Here is an 18236-nt window from a genome sequence, read left to right as displayed (position 1 = left end):
CTGCGTCCTGTCAGGGTCAGGGACGGCCCCTCTGCCATGCTCCGGAGTCCCTGGTCCCCTCACTCCGTTACGTCCTGGGTGTCACGGGTACGGCCGGGAACTCTGTCGTCTTCACTGTCTGGGCCGGGGCCTCCCTGGGTGTCTGCTGGATGGAGTGGGTGCCTTTGGGTCCCTGCAAAGTGAGCCTGCCTCCCAGCACCGCCCTGTCGTTACATAGCCACTATCTTTGCGCCTGTTTTTCCTTCCTTTGACTGGTTCCTCTGGGGTTAATTCCCAGGCCTGGTATTACCATCTCTGAATGCCTGGGTGGTTTCAGCGCCCAGGAGGCTGTGCTGAGGTATCTTAGACCATGTGGGCACCGTTCGCTCCTGCGCAGCCGGCTCCGGGGTGCCCTGTTTTTGCGGAATCCTGCAGGGAACCCCATGTACCCTAAGAGTGCTCTCCCCAGCCACTGTGGCATAAGACAAGCGGTCTCTTTGCCCTTGGGCCCCATCCTTGTCTGGTCGGCCCTTCTTCATGGGTCCAGCGCGGGATTGCCGGCTTCCTTTTCAGGCTTCCTGGGACCCCCACTCAGACCTGCAGCTGGGCCAGCGATGCCCACCCGTTTCTCCTCCACGTGGTATACAGAGGTGCCCAGGCTGCTGCTGGGGACTCTGGAGCCCAGGAGTGAGTCTCCTTGACCCTGAGCTGTCCTGGCTATCACAGCTGGGTCCTGTTTTCCCCTTCAGCACCCACGGGTGTCTTTCTCCAGTTTATATTGTTATTTTTATTTATTTACTTATCGAGACAGAGTCTCGCTCTGTCGCCCAAGCTGGTGTGCAGTGGCACAATCTCGACTCATCGCAAACTCCGCCTCCCGGGTTCAAGCGATTCTCATGCCTCAGCCTCCTGAGTAGCTGGGATTACAGGCATGTATCACCAGGCTGGACCTCTAGTTTATATTATTACAGCCTGGTCAGGGAGTCACTGGGCGTCGCCATCCTGTGGGTGGGAAGGGGGCCCAGGCAGAGGCCAGGAGGAGGTGACAGTCATGCGCTTAGAAGCTCAGGCCACGCCCACCCAGCCCTGCCTGGTGACCGGTTCCTGCTGTGTTGGGAGCTGCATCCCAGACCTTATCGCCGGGCACAGAACTTCCAAGCCAGGGGAGAGGGAGGCCTGGAGGGGCCCCAATCTCTGAAGGTCAGCAGTGGCGGGGAGGAGGCTTGCGGTGCTGAAGGGACTCGGGGGACCTGCAGGGAGGTGTTGGTGGTCAGGGATGGTGGCACCTGAGGGGACTTTTGGCAGGGCCAGAAGTGCCCAGAGCAAGCTCCGGTGGGGCCCTGCACTGGAGGGCTGGGGTCGAGTGACCCTCTTCCTAAGACCACCCAGGAGGACACTGGGTGCAGGGTGGCCGGAGCCCTCACCCCCAGTAGGCAGCTGCTGTCCACTCCGCCGACCTGCCTGTCACCCAGTAGGCAGCTGCTGTCCACTCCCCCGACCTGCCTGTCACCCAGTAGGCAGCTGCTGTCCACTCCCCCGACCTGCCTGTCACCCAATAGGCAGCTGCTGTCCAGTCCCCCGACCTGCCTGTCAGCCTTTTCCCTGTCAGGCCCTGTTCCTAGGAGCCTGGAGACCTCAGGGGTGGCCTTGAGCCCCCAGGGTTTTTTTGAGGGGAAGCGCCAGCTGCTGTCTTCACCCTTCCCCTAGTGAGGCCAGGCTGTGCAGGGCCACGTGGAGGCAGTCTGTGCTGCGCCCATCGGTCGCCTGGCTTCCTGCCGACCCTCGGCCCCCAGCCACCTCTGGTCTCGGGCAAGGCCCCTCCCCCTGCCCACCTCCTCCCTGGCCCCCACGCCAGGTGGGCAGACCTCCTCTGCGGTTTTTATTCAGGGGGTCCCTCGTTGGCTGCCCACTCTTGGAGGGCTGTCCTGACTCAGGCCTCCCCTCTACTCAGATCCCCTGAGCGAGGGCCTGGGCGTGACGCCGGGAGTTACTGGGGGGCCAGAGGGGGAGGCTCAGCCTGAATCAATGAGACCCAGGAGGAAGGAGGCACGTGGACCTGAGGGCTGGCTGGAGCCGCTGGTGACAGATGGAGGAGTAATTGCTGCTTCCAGAGCACAGCGAGCTCGAGCTCCCTGGAGTGCCAGAAGCTTCTGGGTGGACAGACAGGCCGCCTCACATTCCAGAGGCTGACACAGTCTTCCAGGCACCCCTGGGGCCAGCTGGAAGCCATGTGCCTCCACTCACGTGTCCCGTGGGTGTTTGGAGGGGAGGCTGGCCCTGCCATGGCCCACCCCAGCCTGCGGCCTCAGGAGCTTGCACATTTGCAAGGGGGTGACATGAAGACTGAGCCAGGGCTGCGGCGGGCATCCCCCTCAGAGAACAGGGAGGAGGGGGCACAGGCCTTTTTTTTTTTTTTTTTGACAGAGTCTCACTCTTTGGCCAGGCTGGAATGCAGTGGCACGATCTCAGCTCACTGCCACCTTCGCCTCCCAGGTTCAAGCGATTCTCCTGCCTCAGCCTCCCCAGTAGCTGAGATTACAGGCACCCACCATCACGCCCGGCTCATTTTTGTATTTTTAGTAGAGACGGGGTTTTACCATGTTGTCCAGGATGGTCTTGATCTGTTGACCTCGTGATCTGCTTGCCTCGGCCTCCCAAAGTGCTGGGATTACAGGCGTGAGCCACTGTGCCCTGCCAGGCACGGGCCTTTTTATGAGGGAGGAAGCCGTGCCCTCTGCCACCTGCCTGTGGGCTGGGGCCTGCAGGCTCCCAGGGCCCTCAGCTCCAGCGTGGCTGTTGGTTATTGGCACCTGGGCCTCATGTCCACATGGAAAGTATATTCCGAGCTGGTGGCTAAGCCACAAGAGCCTGCTTACCTGTCCCAACCCCCGGCTCACTTGCTGCCATGATACGTCTGGGATTCTGGGCCCTCCTTCTGAGCTTGGACACAGACTTGGGACTTCAGCGCTGGACACAGGTGCTGGATCTGGGGTCTCAATGGCACCAGGGATGGTCATTCTGACAGCCATGCCCAGAGTCTCAGGAGGGCCTGGGGCCGCAGGTGGACAGGCATCCTGACCAGAGTCTCAGGAGGGCCTGGGGCCGCGGGTGGACAGGCATAGAGTCTCAGGTGGGCCTGGGGCCGCGGGTGGACGGGCATAGAGTCTCAGGAGGGCCTGGGGCCGCGGGTGGATGGGCATAGAGTCTCAGGAGGGCCTGGGGCCGCGGGTGGACGGGCATAGAGTCTCAGGTGGGCCTGGGGCCGCGGGTGGACGGGCATAGAGTCTCAGGAGGGCCTGGGGCCGCGGGTGGACGGGCATAGAGTCTCAGGAGGGCCTGGGGCCGCGGGTGGACGGGCATAGAGTCTCAGGAGGGCCTGGGGCCGCGGGTGGACGGGCATAGAGTCTCAGGAGGGCCTGGGGCCGCGGGTGGACGGGCATAGAGTCTCAGGAGGGCCTGGGGCCGCGGGTGGACGGGCATCTGGACGTCGGCTCCACTAGTGTCACCTCTGCAACCTTGTCCCACCCAGCACCTCCCTATGGCCCTGCTCTGACTGTGGGCTGAGGGGGACCCCCATGGCTAGCTTGGGACCTCCGCTGGACACTGTCATAGGGCACTTGTCGAGTGGCCCTGCTGAGGTTCAGGCTTGGGCGTGTGTGGCCCCTGAGCCCAGCAGCTGCGTGAGCCGTGGGGAGCCGAGCCCCCAGTCAAGAAAGCTGTGTGCTCCTTACCCTGCCTGCTGGGCTTGGGGCCTGCAGGGCAAGGGAGGCGGTGGGATGGGAGCCCCGCCTGGCCTGGTTTCTTGTTGTCGCCGCACTCCTAGCTGTATGTAGTCAGATGAGGCTCCCAGTCCTGGCTCTGCTGCTGAGCACCATTGGGCCGGTGGTTGGGTGAATCTCTCAGCCTCTCTGAGCCTCCAGCACTTCGTCCTTAAGAGTGGAACTGGTCTGGACCTCCCAAGGGGGGGTCACTGGGTGCAGAGTTCCTGCAAGGCTGGGCCCGGTGCCAGTAGCGGTCGCTCTGTGGGGCCTTTCGCACGGTTGATTTTTATCTCCCTGTGAGATTAGCGCCTGCCCTGCTCTGCCTCACGGCTCTGGCTCTCCGGGACTGAGACCACCTGCTAAGTGACAGGGGCGGAAGGACCTTGCAACACAGAGCAAGACGTGATAGGGTGGAGCTGCTCCGCCCAGGCCCCGCCTGCAGATGAGAGGGCCCAGAGCCTCTTAATCCCCTGCGCTCAGGGCATGTGACGGCAGGGAGTCTCTCCAGTGCCGCCCACCGGATTCCTATAGTTAGAGCTCCTCGCCCAAGCCCCCAGGGCACCTCACTGGCCTCCCAGGTGAGGACATGAGGCCCAGCGACTCTGGTGGTGGCTGGTGTCACCTATGGCAGGGCCGCGCGGGGCCCAGTGGAGGACGCCTGGCCCGGACCTGACTGCTCCGTGGGAACCGTGGGGCGTGCTCAGGGTGACTTGGTGCGGCTGGGCTGCCAGCCGGCCTGGCTGAGTCACTGGCAGTGAAGGCACCAGGTGGTGGACGTGCTCGGCAGCTGGCGGGAGAGTACCCCCACCCAGGACCGTGTTCAGGCTGAGGGGGAAGGGAGCGGCCCAGGCAGGCACCGCCCATGGCGGGGCCCCCGCACTAACGGCCACCTCTCCCGATGGACTGCAGTTCTGGAGCCGCCCCTGAGGAGAACGCCCTGCTCAGTGTCCTGGCAGACTCTGGACTCTTCACCGTGCCATCCTCGCTACAGCCTGGCCAGGCAGCCGCTCCCGTCCCCCCACCCCACAGACAGGAACTGCAGACTCCTAAAGGTCGAGCCAGCTCCCAAGTCCATAGCCAGAAAGTGATGCAGGCGGGGCCCGGCTGGGGGGCAGGTGTGACCGGGTCATGGGGGAGCGGGCTGTGCACAGGCATCAGGCTGAGAGGTCTCGGGGATACGTCCTGGGAGCCGCCTGCCAGGCGTCCTGTGGGGCTGCCTGCAGGCCTCCTCTGGCTTTGGCAGGTTCTGTCCCGACAGACCGAGGCTTGGGAAGACCGGATTGTGCACTCTCTGCCTGGAGAGAGGGTGGGGAGGGGCTGGGGCGTGTGGGCAGGGAGAACACCCTGGGAGGCATCAGTCCTCTTCCCTGGGGACGGGCCATGCGTCAACAGTCCCTCACTTCCTCTCTCAGGGGCAGAGGCGTGGGGGTCCCGAGCCTCCAGGTTGGAGTAGGTTAGGAGGGCCTCAGAGCCCCCTGCTGCCCCGCCATGTGGCATTGGAAGGGGTGTGACCCCCTAGGGGATCTGTTAACCACACTCCGCCCCATGCCGGCCTCTCTGTTCCCTCTAACCTGCGCAGGAGCAGGGCCAGCTCTGAGCTAGCAGAGGTGACATGAGGCTCGTCCTGGCCCCGCCCACCCTGGCCCCTCCCTGTTTCCCACCACGCTCCGCCCACCAGAGCTACATGTTGTGTTTGAGCCTCAGCCCCAGACCTGGCTCAGGTCCTCAGGAGGAAGCAGTGACAGCCAGGCCCGGGGTCCTCTCCCTGCTCTGCTCCCTGCGTGCTGACTGGAGGCTGCAGGTCCCCAGGCTTGGCCCTGACCCTCAGGAATGGAGCCGGCCGATGTGAGGTGGGGGCTCCGGTCATGTGCAGTGGTAGGAGAGGAGGCGGGACCGGTCCCACAGCTCCATTGCTGCCGAGGCGTTCCGCAGGTCTGTCTTCATATTGGTAAGGAAAATGCGAGGATGGTGTAGCCTGGGCATCCCAGTCCCCAAGTCCGAAATCTAAATCCAAGCGGAAAATTCCAGGCCTGACTTCATACGCCAGGTCACAGTCAGAAGCCAGAATTATTGAAAGTATGCTCTGGGCGTGGTGGCCTCACACCTGTAATCCCAGCACTTTGGGAGGCCATGGTGGGAGGATCACTTGAGGCCAGGAGTTTGAGAGCAGCCTGGGTAACATAGTGAGACCCCCGTCATTATTTACACAAAATTATGTGACTGCCTTTAGGGTATGTGTACGAGGTATATATTGAAATGTGAGTAGAATTTTGTGTTGAGTCCCATCCCCAAGATACCTCATTATGCGTGTGCAAATATTCCAAAATCCAGAAAATCCTAAACTGGAAATACTTCTGGCCCCTTTGGATGAGGGGCCCCCACTCTGCATAGCAAGTGTGGGCGCGGGTGCTGCTGTGTCCTAGCGTACTTCAGTGTGTGGCCTTTGCAGTGAATAGGGCTGGTGTCCTCACTGTACAGATGAGGAAACTGAGGCCCAGCTTGCTTTGCCAAGGTGCATCCGGCCCCGGCCATGGCTATTCTGGCTCCAGATCCCATGGTCTGCAGCCACAATACTGCTGTGCCCCGGACTGGGCCCTGCAGCTCGCGGTGTCGCTGGCCTGCCCATTGTGGGCACCGCCCCCACCCCAGACTGGCCGAGGCCTAGAAGGGAGCAGGGCCTGGCTGAGGCTGCAGGGGTGGGGACGGTCAGCCAGCCCCTCACTGCCAGGAAGGGCGCATCCATCCTGGCCTCTCCCCAGGGAGAAGGGAGGAGCGGCTGAGAGGGAAGCGCTCTTGCCCTGTGGACGAGCTCCTGCCCCACGGACTAGGGAGCCCCCGCCCACAACCTGCTTGTCAGGGCCACCCGGGACCCCCGGGAGTTCGGCTGCTCGCTCTGCTGTTAGGAATTGGATTAGTTTTCCATAAAAACAGGATGTGGTGGGTGAGAGGGCAGTGTGTCCGTCTTTCTCACTCCCCTTTTTCCAGGAACTGAGCACGCGCATAGGTTTTAGCCAGGGCCGTCCAGTCCCCTCCCCACCCCCCACAGGGAACAATCCACTCTCTGCTCTTAAGTGGCCACTTAATCAGCTTCTCCTCCTGGCCCGGGGAGCTTCTTGGAGCCGGCCTGCCGTGGTGGGAACAGCTATGGGGACACCCTGCCATAAGGTCCAGCAGCTAAGCTGGGATGTGGGGGGAGGGGCTGCGAGGCCCAGGCAGTGTGCCAGGCCGCACAAGAGGAGCCCAGCTCTTGCCCCACCAGCTGGCAGCCCTGGACCGAGGTTGGGCCCGTGAGGTTGGCTGGGCCCTGGGCCCTGGGCCCCCCTCCCCAGGACACGACTGTGGTGGCACATGGCTTTGGGGGCTCGTGGGTCCCACTTTGCAGACCTCTGCTTTAAGGGGTCTGGTCCACGGGGTCCCCTCTGGAGGGCCTGGGGGAAATCTCAGGGACCTGGGGTCTGGACCCGGGGGAGGGAGCGGGAGAAGCATGTGCGTGAGTCTCGTGCTGTCAGGGAGCCCGGGAAGTCTGCGAGGGCTTGGGGGTTGTGTCAGGGAGTGTGGGTTTTGCCCTTCAGTGGTGGAAGCTGGCTTGAGTCCCCTCGATCCCTCAAGGCTGTAGTCCTGACTCGGGGCTGTAGGGCAGGGCAGGGTGGGGTCACCCTGAGGCAGAAGGCTCAGCGGAGATGTTCTGGCTTGGCTCTGCCCCTCCCTGGCTGGGTGGCCTCACCCTGTGACCTTTGGGGACCCTGGTTCCTCTGAGCCAGGGGACAGCAGTGACTCCGCCTTCCTAGGTGGCTGAGGATGACATGGGCTCCCCCTGCAAATGTGGGTTCTGGCTCAGTGGCCAAGTGTATGATGGTATGTGGCTCTTGGGGTCCTGAGAGAGATGGGAGAGGAGCAGGGGTTTGTAGGGAAGCTGGCGGCTTCCACCCCAGCCAGTCACCTGCAGTGGGGGAGTTCCAAAGCTGACTGAAGCTTCGACCTTGTGGCTGGTCCCCTTCCTTCCTGCCTCAGTCATTCTGGTCTCTGGGGGATCAGGGCTGGGGGGCTCTGGGCTGTGGGGGCCTGTTTTTGTGACTTAAAGCTCTCCCAGCACAGCCCCCTGACCTCCTTCCTCATGGGCAGGACCTGGCCCAGGGGTCTCAGCACAGCCACAGGCCAGGGATGCCCTTGCAGATGGCCCTGGATGGAATTCCAGAACTCAGAAATGTCTCCTTCCCGTAAGGATGTCCCGAGACTCATGAGACCGTTTCCTTCTGGGAAGGGGGAGGAATGGGGAGATGAGTGAAGAGCGCACTGCAGCTCAATCCGGGAAGAAGCTAATCAATCAATCAGGGAAGCCAATCGATCGGAGAAGCTGATGGGAAAGCTGTGCTTGGTAGAATAGGCTCGTGCGGGCAGAGCAGTCGCGGCACTCACAGGCTGACTGTGAGGACCTTGGGTGTTACTTTGTGCTTCTCTGCATTTTAAAAACTTTTGAAAGTGGAGAAGAGGAAAGTGAATGTTCTCTGAGATTTCATGGAAAGGGGAAACTGAGGCCCACTCTAGCCAGTTTGGGCCCAGGGTTCCAACCTGGGGTGGCCCCGGCCCTCGTGGCCTGAGGTGATCGTCCCTGTGGCTCTGAGAGCAGCTGGGGCCGGGTCCCCGTTCTGGGGCTGGTGATCCTGGGGAAGAGCCAGGCAGTGCCCTGCCCACCTAGTGGTTATGAGCCCAGAATGTTGATTTTTTTCCCTTGGTTGCTTCATGACTTTGTTGAATTTCCAGAGTATGTGTGGGGGCCCCCGGCGTCCCACTCGCCCCAGCCCTGTGGCAGCAGAGCTGGCTGTCAAGCTCAGTCAGCTGGGCCCAGGGCCCCGGAGGTAGGTGGGTGTGTGCCTGAGCTTCCCCTTTGGGCCCTGCCAGGTGCTGGGAGGGACCACACAGGCGGCAGGAACTCGGGGTCCCCAGGCCTCGGCCACACCAGCCTGGTGCTTGTTATATATTGATATGTCTCTCTACCTGTGAAATGGGTATTTATTTTAAGGAGCTGACGCACGCGATTGTGGGGCTGTCACGTCTGAAGTTCGCAGGGCGCGCTGGCTGTCAAGAGCCGCTGTTGCAGTCTCGAGTCCAGGCTGTGCGCTCAGGCCGGGCTTCTCTGTGGCGGTCCTGGGAATTCCTCCTCCGGGCCCTTAGGCGACACTCCCCTGCCTTCAGCTGATTGGATGAGGCCCTCATGCCGTCTGCTGATTTAAATCAATCTCATTTTAAAAACACCTGCACACCAAATTGCGATTGGCGTTTGACTAAACTGGGCAGCGTGGCCCAGCAGCGCTGACACATGAATCAACCCTCACACCCCACCCGCAGGCGTGACCACGGCACCCACGCTGCCGACTGAGAACACAGCCGTGCGCTGACTCGCATGTGATGTCTCTGGTCGCACCTCCTCCATCCTCAGCACCCTGTTCAGAATGGAGATAGCGGCCGGGTGCAGTGCTCACACCTGTATCCCCAGCACCTTGGGAGGCCTGGGTGGGCGGGTCACCTGAGGTCAGGAGTTCGAGACCAGCCTGGCCAACATGGTGAAACCCCATCTCTACTGAAAATAGAAAAATTAGCCGGGTGTGGTGGCAGGTGTCTGTAGTCCCAGCTACTCGGGAGGCTGAGGCAGGAGAATCGCTTGAACCCAGGAGGTAGAGGTTGTAGTGCGCGAGATTGTGCCACTGCACTCCAGCCTGGGCGGGCGACAGAGTGAGACTCTGTCTCAAAAAAAAAAAAAAAAAAAATTAGAGATAACGACTTGGGCTCTCTAGAGACCAGGGAGCCAGGCTCCAGGCGCTGCTGTCCAGCCCCTTGCCAGCTATACGAGGTGCTCACCTGGCCACGTGTCCGGGCAGTGCTTCTGGGGTGGCATCCACTGGGAGGGCAAGATGGTTCTGGTACAGGTGCCCAATTCTGTCCCCATTTCACTTACTGGGAACTCAAGGCACAGAGAGGGGAGGGCTGAGCTAGGACCAGACCCCAGTCTCCTGCAGAAGTACACAGACATGATGTACGACCATCCTGGACACCTGCCCTGAGATTCCCCTCCCTCTCCTGCCCTGTCCCAGTGGCCTGGGGGGAAGGGGAAGCAAGGTTCTGAAGGGAGTGTGACCAGACACCTGCCCGTGACACCCCCTCTCCAGGCTGCCTCCGAGTGGCTGGTGACTCCCCTCCTGCCTGCGAGGGAGGTGGCCAGGTTGCATTCCTCTCTGAGTGCCGGGGAAGTCCCTAGAGAGCAGGCCAGCCTGTGACTGGGCCCTGGGGCAGTCTAGACAGGCCAGACTGGACAGGCCAGGGGGCTGGGTGCCGCTGGGTAAATCACAGGGTGAGGGCTCTGAGTCAGCACCCCATCTTCTGTCCTGGGTCCAGCACCGCTGAGGACACAGTGGGCAGCCGGGTCTGCCAGGGCCAGGTAGCTGTGTTGAGAAGGCAGTGCTCCTGAGAGGCGGCTACCGGGAGGTTTTCAATGGCCAGGCTTCTTAGGAAGCCCTTGTTGCCTCTCTGGGGTGAGTTGCTGGGGCCATGGTTGGAGTGGTCGCCAGTGTCTGCCCCTGGTGCCGAGGGCGGAGTCCTCGTTTTGGGAGGTCACGGCATGATGCTGGGAGTCAAAGGCAGGCCGTGGCAGGGGCATTCCTTTTTTCTTTCTTTTTTTTTTTTTTTTGAGACGGAGTTTCACTCTTGTCGCCCAGGCTGGAGTGCAGTGGTGCGATCCCAGCTCACTGGGATCCCAGGCTCCCAGGTTCAAGCGATTCTCCTGCCTCAGCCTCCCGAGTAGCTGGGATTACAGGTACGTGCCACCATGCCCGGCTAATTTTTGTATTTTTAGTAGCGACGGGGTTTCGTCATGTTGGCCAGGCTGGTCTCGAACTCCTGACCTCATGATCCACCCGCCTTAGCTTCCCAAAGTGTTGGCATTACAGGTGTGAGCCACCGCGCCCGGCCTGGCAGGGGAATGTCGACGCGTGATCTCTGCCTGGAGAGCACGTTCATGTTTCCCAGAGGACACTTTAGAACATGGCGCCTGGGTTTGGATGAACCTCAGCCTAAGAATCTACCTGCTCAGGATCCAGCGACGCTGGTGGTGTGGACTTCAGCTCTGGAGAATGGGTTATATGGAACCTGGGCGCCGGGAGGGCATTGCCACGTGCTTGCTGCTGGGGCTTCAAGAGGACCCCATCTCCTGTGGCCGAGACCCCGTGTCTCAAGGCACATCCCCTTTCGTACCCCGCCCCACCCTCCGCAGCTTCATGACCTCTGGGTTTCCCCCAGGACCTTCGCATCTGATGTTCCCAGATCCTTCCTGCCACTGGGTCCTGCTCTGGTGCCCCCCGGGGAAGCCTTCCCTGAGGACCCAGCTCAGCATCTGGTGCTAACTGTGGCTCATCGTGCACTTTGGCCCCCAGGAGGCTGTGGGCTCCTGAAACCCCTCTGAACCACGGGCTTCCAACCACACCTGACCCCCTGCGTGCCGACCCTGTGTGCAGGTGTACAGGTGTGCCTGGGGCAGGATGGCTGTGACGGCCTCACAGAGCCCGGAGAGCTGCCTCCTAGCTTCCAAAGCCTTCATTTCAGGAATCTTACCCTCTCAATTAGTCTGGAATGCTGGGGGCGGGGCCAGCTCCAGGTCACAGAGCGACCTTGTTTACCCAGACCTTAACATCGGCCCTTCCATGCTAATCAATGTAATCATTGTGGTCCATGCGGCCTCTGGAATGTGCTGTCCACTCCCTGGGTCAGCCAGAGAGTGTCAGGGAGCACCTACCGGCTGTTACCCAGTGCTGCCCTGACCTGGTTCTTCACTCTGCACATTTGTATCACGCCAGACCCTGGCTGGCAGCTCCAGGTGACGAGGCATGTCAGTGCCTTCCTGTTCTGTTCTGTTTTGTTTTGTTTTTTAAATCGGGATGAGGCCTTCCTGTGTTGCCCAGGTTGGTCTTGAACTCTCAGGGTCAAGCGAACCTTCTGCCTTGGCCTCATAAACTGCTGGATTACAGGCAGGAGTCACCATACCTGGCCCACTGCTACTTTCTAGATGAAGAGACAGAATCCCAGAGAAGAAGCAGGGGTTTGGCTGCTGGTCTGGAGCCGGTTCTGCTCACCTCCAGCTTCTGCCTTGGGCCGCCCTGTTCACACAGGAGCTGCTCACAGGCTGAGACCTCGAGCAGGGCCCTCCTAGAGGAACTGGGCCCCCGTAAGTGCCCTGAGCCGCCAGGAGCCGGCCCTGCGTCTCATCCCTATCTCCGGAGGACATTGGCTGCTAGCTCACCAGCTGGCCCCTGGGCAGGCTTGAATCATGACCTGGAACGCCAGGTGTCTCTGGCTCTACCCCTGGACCTGCACCCTGTCCAAGTGCCCCAGGGCCAGACTGTTTTGGTTGCACCCTCTGGACGGGCTACCCCCATGATGGCTGCTCATGGAAAGCTGTGGTTCTTAGGGAGCTGCCAATTCCTAGTCCTGCAGCCTGGAGCTCCTGGGTATAAGGTGGGGGCTCGGGCGTATTGGGGACTGGGGGTCTCAGGAAAGAGCCTGTGGGACCTGTGAACTCATAGCTGCTGGCCGAGGGACCACCTTGTGGCTGTCCTTCTCAGCTAGGCCTGGTCAGGGCTTGTGTGCAGGGCGGCTGAAGCTGTGGGAGGCCACACTGTCCACACAGTGCCCTGTAAGCCCACCGTGCCTCAGTTTCCCCGTCTGACAAGTGGCACAACAGAAGCCACTTCCTGGCACACAGCTCAGGGTCAGGGCCGACACAGCACTTGTGGGCTGCCGGGAGACCCGAGAGGCTGCCCCTTCCTTGCCTTGGCTGCCACGGGTGACCTGGCAAACCCCTCTGGCCGTGGCACCACTGGGGGTCTACCCTTGGCAGTCAGGGTTGGCCGCTTGGCTGGGAGCCCCTTCTCCTCCCCAGACACATCCTCTCCTTGGGGCTGGAGGGGGTCCTGCCGTCCCCGGGATTGTCGAGCAGCAGGAATCCAGGAGGGCAGTGCCTGCAGCTCAGATGGGGGCCAGTGGGCAGGGCCGATCCAAGGGTGGCAGGAAAGTGCCCATCACTGACCTCAGGTGGGGGAGGCCATGGTGTGTGAAGGAAGGAGAGCTGAGTGGGAGGTCTTACTTTGTCACCGCCCCTCTGAGTGCCTGCTGTGTGCAAAGGCCAGCGGGGGCCCTTTCTTCAGCTGGGCTCTGCCCAGACCCCTGAGCTCTGGGTGGGCCGGGAGGGAGACCTTGCTGCTCACAGAGGTGGCTCTGCCTGACCCAGCTCCCTTCCCAGGGCACAGTGGGGGCATAGGGTCGGCTCCGTCAGACATTCCGGGACCTGCGTCCTTCCTGGGGCCACACCCTCTACCCACTGTCCCCCACCTATTTACCTGTATCTGCGCCAGAGATGGCTGCCCAGATAAGCCCTGGTTTCCTCCCTTTCTGGAGAGGCTGCGGGGGCTGGCGAGGAACCCACCTGCGCAGAGAGTCAGGGGATTGCTCTGTGTGGAACGCAGGCCTCACCCATGCCCTGGAATCTGTCCCCTTCTCTGTTGCTGAGGGATGAGTCCCAGATCCCTGACCCTGCAGGGGAGCCCAGCACAGAAAAACTCTGAGGCCTCCACACCCTGGCAGCGCTGCTGGTCGTCTGTGGGGAAGGACAGGCCCTGGGAGGGAGGGGGAGGTGCGGAGGGCAGTGGGGAGGGTCAGGAGGAAGTGGGGGAAGGGCCACCCAGGCCCCGATGTGGGGGATGTCTCACGCGTGGGGTGGGGCATTCTCATCTCTGCTTGGTCTCCTGCCATGCTGGGGGTCGTTCACTGCGGACCCCAAGTACCATGAAGATGGGGATGGGATGCTGAGCAGCATCGGGGAGAACGCAAAGGCACCTCCCAGCTCACCCGCCCCCACCCCGCAAGCACAACCATTGCCATGGTGTGGGGACCGGAAGGCGGCGGCTTTGGGACCAGACTGCTTCTGCCTCGGGCCGTGCCGCTGGGCCTTTGGTCAGCACCATCGTGCCCTGCAAGTCACTCTTAGCCTGGTGCCCTCCTGGGCAGGGCAGTGCCACAAGAGCTCAGGCCCAGATGTGCAGGTGCCACTGTTCCACCCACCAGCAGGTCACCTGGGGAACCCTCCCCTCCTGCAGCCTCTGTGTGCTCATCTGTGAAATGGGCGTGGTGGAGTCACCCCTGGCTTGTGGGAGAATCCCAGGGGCTGATGCCTGCAGGACCCTGTGGGCTTTGCCCCGCTCCCTGGGCAGAGACAGTTCCCCCAGTCCCACCCACGTGGCTGTGTGCAGCAGGTGCCTGCTGACCCTCTGTTCCTGCACAGTCACCTTCTTCACAGACGGACCCCCACCCTGCCCTGCAAACCCCTCCAGGGGCTGCGGGCTGAGTGTGTCCGGGAGGGTGTCCTGACTCTCCACGCCAGCAGGTCTGAGAGCAGATGGCTGTGGCAGGTGCGGTGGGTGCCCAGCCCACAGCAGCCACCAGGCCTGCAGGACCCTGCCCCGTGTAGGTCAGATGAGCCATAAAACTGAGTTTCCTGGACACTGAGCTAATTAAACCTGGACACCGAGCTAATTAAATGGTCCAGAAGCTCCTCAGTGCCCCAGGCTGCTGGCCGGGCTCCAAGTAGGTGAGGAACATTCCGTTTACCTCCTGCTGCGTCGAAGGCGGGTGGCTCCCCTCGGGCCCCTGCCTGTCCCGGGCCCCCTGGGTGCTGCTGCGTCAAAGGCGGGTGTCTCCGCTTGGGACCCTGCCTGTCCTGGGCTTCCTGGGTGCTGCTGCCTCGAAGACGGGTGGCTCCCCTCGGGCCCCTGCCTGTCCTGGGCTCCCTGGGTCCTGCTGCCTTAAAGGCGGGTCGTTCCCCTCGGATCCCTGCCTGTCTTGAGCTCCCTGGGTGCTGCCTGCCCTGTGGCCACGTCCCACTGTTGCCTTTGGACAAAGCTCTCCTAGGGCCTGGGGTTCTCCCATGAGATGACAGGGGTTGGTTCAAAGGTCTCTGAGGTTTTTAGAGCTTTGTGAAGTGTTCTAGAATCCATTTTCTCTCTCATTGCTGGACAGAGAGTATAGACTGGGCTTTTTCTTGAGTTTCTCTCAACTCTTCTTTGTCCATGAGGCAGGAAGAGGGGCTTCCTCAGTCCTCAGCTTGGGGTGGATTGGGATGGACAGAGAACCGTGCAGGATCCCAGCCTGAGACGGTCCAGCGCCCCGGGGGAGCGGAGCCCGTGGCTCAGCCGTCTGTAGCCACGGCCGGGGTCACTGTCACTGAGGGCACGGAGGCCCCGCCGGCGAGGTCCGAGGTGGGCGTGTGGGGTGGTGGGCGCTGGAGGCAGGACCTCTGCTTGTGGAGGGTGGGCCAGGCGTGGACCAGGTGTCACGTCCGCTGGGGCCTTTGAGGGGCAGGTGGGGATTGGCGCGGAGAAGGAGTGAAGCAGCTGGGGTTTTGGGAGCCTGTGCGGAGCAGGCCCGGATGCCAGGGTGGCTGGTGAAGGTGGGCCTGGCCGGGCTCGGCCTCCATTGGGGGAGCCCCCCAGGTCCCCTCCCCACACAGCTTCCCCCTCTGTCTGCTGTCCAAGGCTCCTGTGCTGGCACTCTGGGGTGGTAGGCCATGCAGCCCGTGTGAACCTCCATAGACCTTGCTGTGAACGCTGCACGGGGCGTCTGGGGGCGGGCTGGCTTCCCCCCGTCCCCTGGGCCAACCTTGCCAGCCTTCTTCTTCCATAAAAGTGGGATCCGTCTGAGCCCTCATGGCCCCTCTGGGTCTGGGTTTGCTTTTTGTGCTCTGCCTGGGGTCATGGCAGGGAAGGCCCAGCAGGCTCCCTTGCAGAGCAGGGCAGAGCAGCGGCCGCCAGGAGCTGCCTGTACCACGTCTGCTCTTCTTCCTCTCTTCCTCTGCCCGGCCCCGCCCACCGTCGAAAGCACTAGCACGGGAGTGTTTATCGGTTTCTCTTCCAAGCCAAATAAGGCAGAGAGCGCTCTTGCAGGAGTTGGAGCAGGCCAGGGGGAGGGCAGCTGGGGCTTGGACCAGGACCCCGGCTCCCTGTAGCTGCCCTGGCCTGGCAGCTGTCATCCGCGAACTCTGATCCTCGCCTGCCCTCACCCGGCCCCTTTCAGAGCTTCCCATGCTCAGCTGGTAGCAAAAGAAGTCAAGACCTAGCAAGGTGCCTGCCCCGGCCAGGAGGCCCAGGTTCTAGCCCTGCAGCTGCCGCTGTGAGCTCTGGGGACTCAGACGACTGATGTCCTTCCCAGCTTCTGTTTCCTTTGATGAGAGGAAGGTTGGACCAAGCGACCTGCCCTGCTTCTGTCTGTTTCCTCCAGTCCTTTTCCTTTTTGACCAGTTCACTTGTTGATAACTCCAGCAACGCATGAAAACATTCCCCTTGTAAAAAAGGGAAATGCCGTGGGTAGGGGGGACCAAGGACCTCTTCTGCAGGAGCAGACGCAACAGCTTGGTGTGGATCTTCCTCAGCCTTTTTGTCCATCCTAGACATGTGGAATTTCAGTTTTACACAAAAGGAATGGTAGGCGTCTGACTCTCTGTGGCTTGTATCACTTGGCAGTGCCACAGGGATTGGTGCATGTTTGCTCTCTCATGCTATGTGTCAGGCACTGTTGTCTCTGCGACAATCCTGTGAGGAGGGAGTTATGGTTCTTGATTTATAGACGAACAAACTAAGACAGAGGAGATTGGGCTCATCTGTGGTCATCTCAGCAGTTGTGAGAGGTCAGGGCCAGAGCCCAGTGGTGTCATTCTGCAGGGCACATACAGACACGACCCACAGGGTTCTGCCGCACCCCCTGCCGCTTGGCCTGCTCTGCAGGTGGGTGCCGAGGCTGTTCCTGCATCTGCTGTGTCTTGTGAGTCCGTGGGTGCCTGTGGAGTGGGGGCAGTGGGTTTGCATTTCCAAGCACTGCCTCTGTCATAGGCTCAGGGAGAAGCAGTTACGCATGAGCTGCTATGAGCCACGGGTATGACTGGCATCACAGCAGGAGGAGCCCTGGGGATGGCTGAGTGACGATGGGTGGGGACAGAGCTCACAGAAGCCAGGGTTGCCCCCAGGCCAGGCCACTGCTGGGGCCAAGGCTGGGATGCAGCACGATGTTGGTCTGTCAGGGAGTGGCAGGAAGCCCACAGGGTCAGCTGACACTTAACCCAGAGTGGTGGGAGCCTTGAATGCCAGACTGAGGGCCACACAGTTGGTCTCGGTGCACAAGGACTTGGGCTGAGAGGGCTGTTGCTCCTCAATGGCCATCTCCTTGTGGGAGGAGAGTCCGGGCAGCCGCTTCCAGGAACCCACCCATGCTTGAAATAGTGGGACCACAGGGCTGAGGAGGCTCCTGGGGATTCCTCCCAGGATTCAGCTGCTCTGTCCCCAACCCCGGAGGGCCTATTCGTCTAGCCCTATATCCTCTCTGCCAGTTAGGTCAGGGCAGAGAAGTAGAGGCACAGAGGGTGGCGGAGGGGTGTCCAGCCAGGCCTTTCTGTGGCACCTTCTGAGGCTGGCTGGAGTCTGTGAAATCTGTGATAACTGGCCCAGACCCTTCCTGCCTCCTGGGGCATCTGCTGGAGCTGAGGCTGCTGGGGGAGTCTGCCTGTGACTTGAGTCTCTTGCTGGGCCATGCTGGGCTCAGTTCGCCTGTCTGTGGGGTGGGATGGTGCCACCCTTAGGTTGTTGGGAGGACCCAAGGAGAGTGATGCCTCCAGCCATGGCAGCTGGCCCAGCTCCGGCCCGCAGCCTGGCTCCTTCAGGGCCAGGAACCCCCAGGTCATGGACTCCAACCCTCGGGCTCTCCTGCTTCCCAGGTGACGAAGCTTCAACCCATGGGCTCTCCTTCCTGGGTGTGGAAGCCCTGGAGAAGGTGGAGATGGGATCTCAGTCCAGCCCATTGGCTCCACTTCCTTTGAGAAGCTCTTTCCCCCGTCTTGGCCCCCAGCCCTTGTTCAAGCACCTGTCCCTCTCCTGTCTCCTAGGCCCCGTCAGTCCTTTTGGAGACCTGTTCCCACCCGCCCCTGCTCTCACAGGCTGCCAGTGTCCACACACTCTCAGGCACTGTCATTGGAGCCTTTTAACCACACGGGAAAGCAGGCAGGTTAGGTAACTACCCCCCACCCCCCCGCCAGCAACGCCCCCTGCATACCCAGGGCCTGCACCAGGTGCTGCTGCGCTGCCAGCTCTCTCGAGGTCCCTCCTCCTAACCTCAATGCATCGCGTCTTCCAGCCCCCGGCTCCGAGGGCTCAGCCTCCAGGTGGTCTAACCTGGAGTCTAAACCTGGATTGCCATCTGCCTGCCTCAGCCCTTCCCTTCCCCAGGGACCGAGGGCCAGTGCGGCTCCCCAGCCACCCATTTTTTGTTTGTTTTGAGACGGAGTCTCGCTCTGTCGCCCAGGCTGGAGTGCAGTGTCCTGATCTCGGCTCACTGCAAGCTCCATCTCCTGGGTTCACGCCATTCTCCTGCCTCAGCCCCCCAAGTAGCTGGGACTACAGGTGCCCGCCACCA

The 18236-nt window shown here is 61.6% G+C and overlaps 1 protein-coding gene across 1 annotated transcript in view, besides 8 other annotated features; it reads left to right on the top strand.

Annotated features, from left to right (window-relative positions):
- PIEZO1 (piezo type mechanosensitive ion channel component 1 (Er blood group)) overlaps positions 1-18236 on the top strand; it is a 69883-nt gene that overhangs the window by 10047 nt on the left and 41600 nt on the right. The window lies entirely within an intron of this gene.
- Positions 4036-4619: an enhancer, noted in NCBI's record as "H3K27ac-H3K4me1 hESC enhancer chr16:88836963-88837546 (GRCh37/hg19 assembly coordinates)". NCBI's record gives its function as "activates a minimal SCP1, AML or CMV promoter by ChIP-STARR-seq in naive H9 embryonic stem cells {active_cell/tissue: H9 hESC(naive)}" and the evidence as "EXISTENCE:reporter gene assay evidence [ECO:0000049][PMID:30033119]".
- Positions 4620-5203: an enhancer, noted in NCBI's record as "H3K27ac-H3K4me1 hESC enhancer chr16:88836379-88836962 (GRCh37/hg19 assembly coordinates)". NCBI's record gives its function as "activates a minimal SCP1, AML or CMV promoter by ChIP-STARR-seq in naive H9 embryonic stem cells {active_cell/tissue: H9 hESC(naive)}" and the evidence as "EXISTENCE:reporter gene assay evidence [ECO:0000049][PMID:30033119]".
- Positions 5788-6371: an enhancer, noted in NCBI's record as "H3K27ac-H3K4me1 hESC enhancer chr16:88835211-88835794 (GRCh37/hg19 assembly coordinates)". NCBI's record gives its function as "activates a minimal SCP1, AML or CMV promoter by ChIP-STARR-seq in naive H9 embryonic stem cells {active_cell/tissue: H9 hESC(naive)}" and the evidence as "EXISTENCE:reporter gene assay evidence [ECO:0000049][PMID:30033119]".
- Positions 6372-6955: an enhancer, noted in NCBI's record as "H3K27ac-H3K4me1 hESC enhancer chr16:88834627-88835210 (GRCh37/hg19 assembly coordinates)". NCBI's record gives its function as "activates a minimal SCP1, AML or CMV promoter by ChIP-STARR-seq in naive H9 embryonic stem cells {active_cell/tissue: H9 hESC(naive)}" and the evidence as "EXISTENCE:reporter gene assay evidence [ECO:0000049][PMID:30033119]".
- Positions 6956-7541: an enhancer, noted in NCBI's record as "H3K27ac-H3K4me1 hESC enhancer chr16:88834041-88834626 (GRCh37/hg19 assembly coordinates)". NCBI's record gives its function as "activates a minimal SCP1, AML or CMV promoter by ChIP-STARR-seq in primed H9 embryonic stem cells {active_cell/tissue: H9 hESC(primed)}" and the evidence as "EXISTENCE:reporter gene assay evidence [ECO:0000049][PMID:30033119]".
- Positions 10436-11197: an enhancer, noted in NCBI's record as "H3K27ac-H3K4me1 hESC enhancer chr16:88830385-88831146 (GRCh37/hg19 assembly coordinates)". NCBI's record gives its function as "activates a minimal SCP1, AML or CMV promoter by ChIP-STARR-seq in primed H9 embryonic stem cells {active_cell/tissue: H9 hESC(primed)}" and the evidence as "EXISTENCE:reporter gene assay evidence [ECO:0000049][PMID:30033119]".
- Positions 11198-11957: an enhancer, noted in NCBI's record as "H3K27ac-H3K4me1 hESC enhancer chr16:88829625-88830384 (GRCh37/hg19 assembly coordinates)". NCBI's record gives its function as "activates a minimal SCP1, AML or CMV promoter by ChIP-STARR-seq in naive and primed H9 embryonic stem cells {active_cell/tissue: H9 hESC(naive and primed)}" and the evidence as "EXISTENCE:reporter gene assay evidence [ECO:0000049][PMID:30033119]".
- Positions 11299-11593: an enhancer, noted in NCBI's record as "tiled region #10451; K562 Activating DNase unmatched - State 25:Art". NCBI's record gives its function as "activates a minimal TATA promoter and a strong SV40 promoter by Sharpr-MPRA in K562 cells {active_cell/tissue: K562}" and the evidence as "EXISTENCE:reporter gene assay evidence [ECO:0000049][PMID:27701403]".

The sequence above is a fragment of the Homo sapiens genome, chromosome 16 (assembly GCF_000001405.40).
Source record: "Homo sapiens chromosome 16, GRCh38.p14 Primary Assembly".
Taxonomy (NCBI): domain Eukaryota; kingdom Metazoa; phylum Chordata; class Mammalia; order Primates; family Hominidae; genus Homo; species Homo sapiens.
Note: the sequence above shows the minus strand (reverse complement) of the source record. Positions and strands in the feature narration are given on the sequence as shown.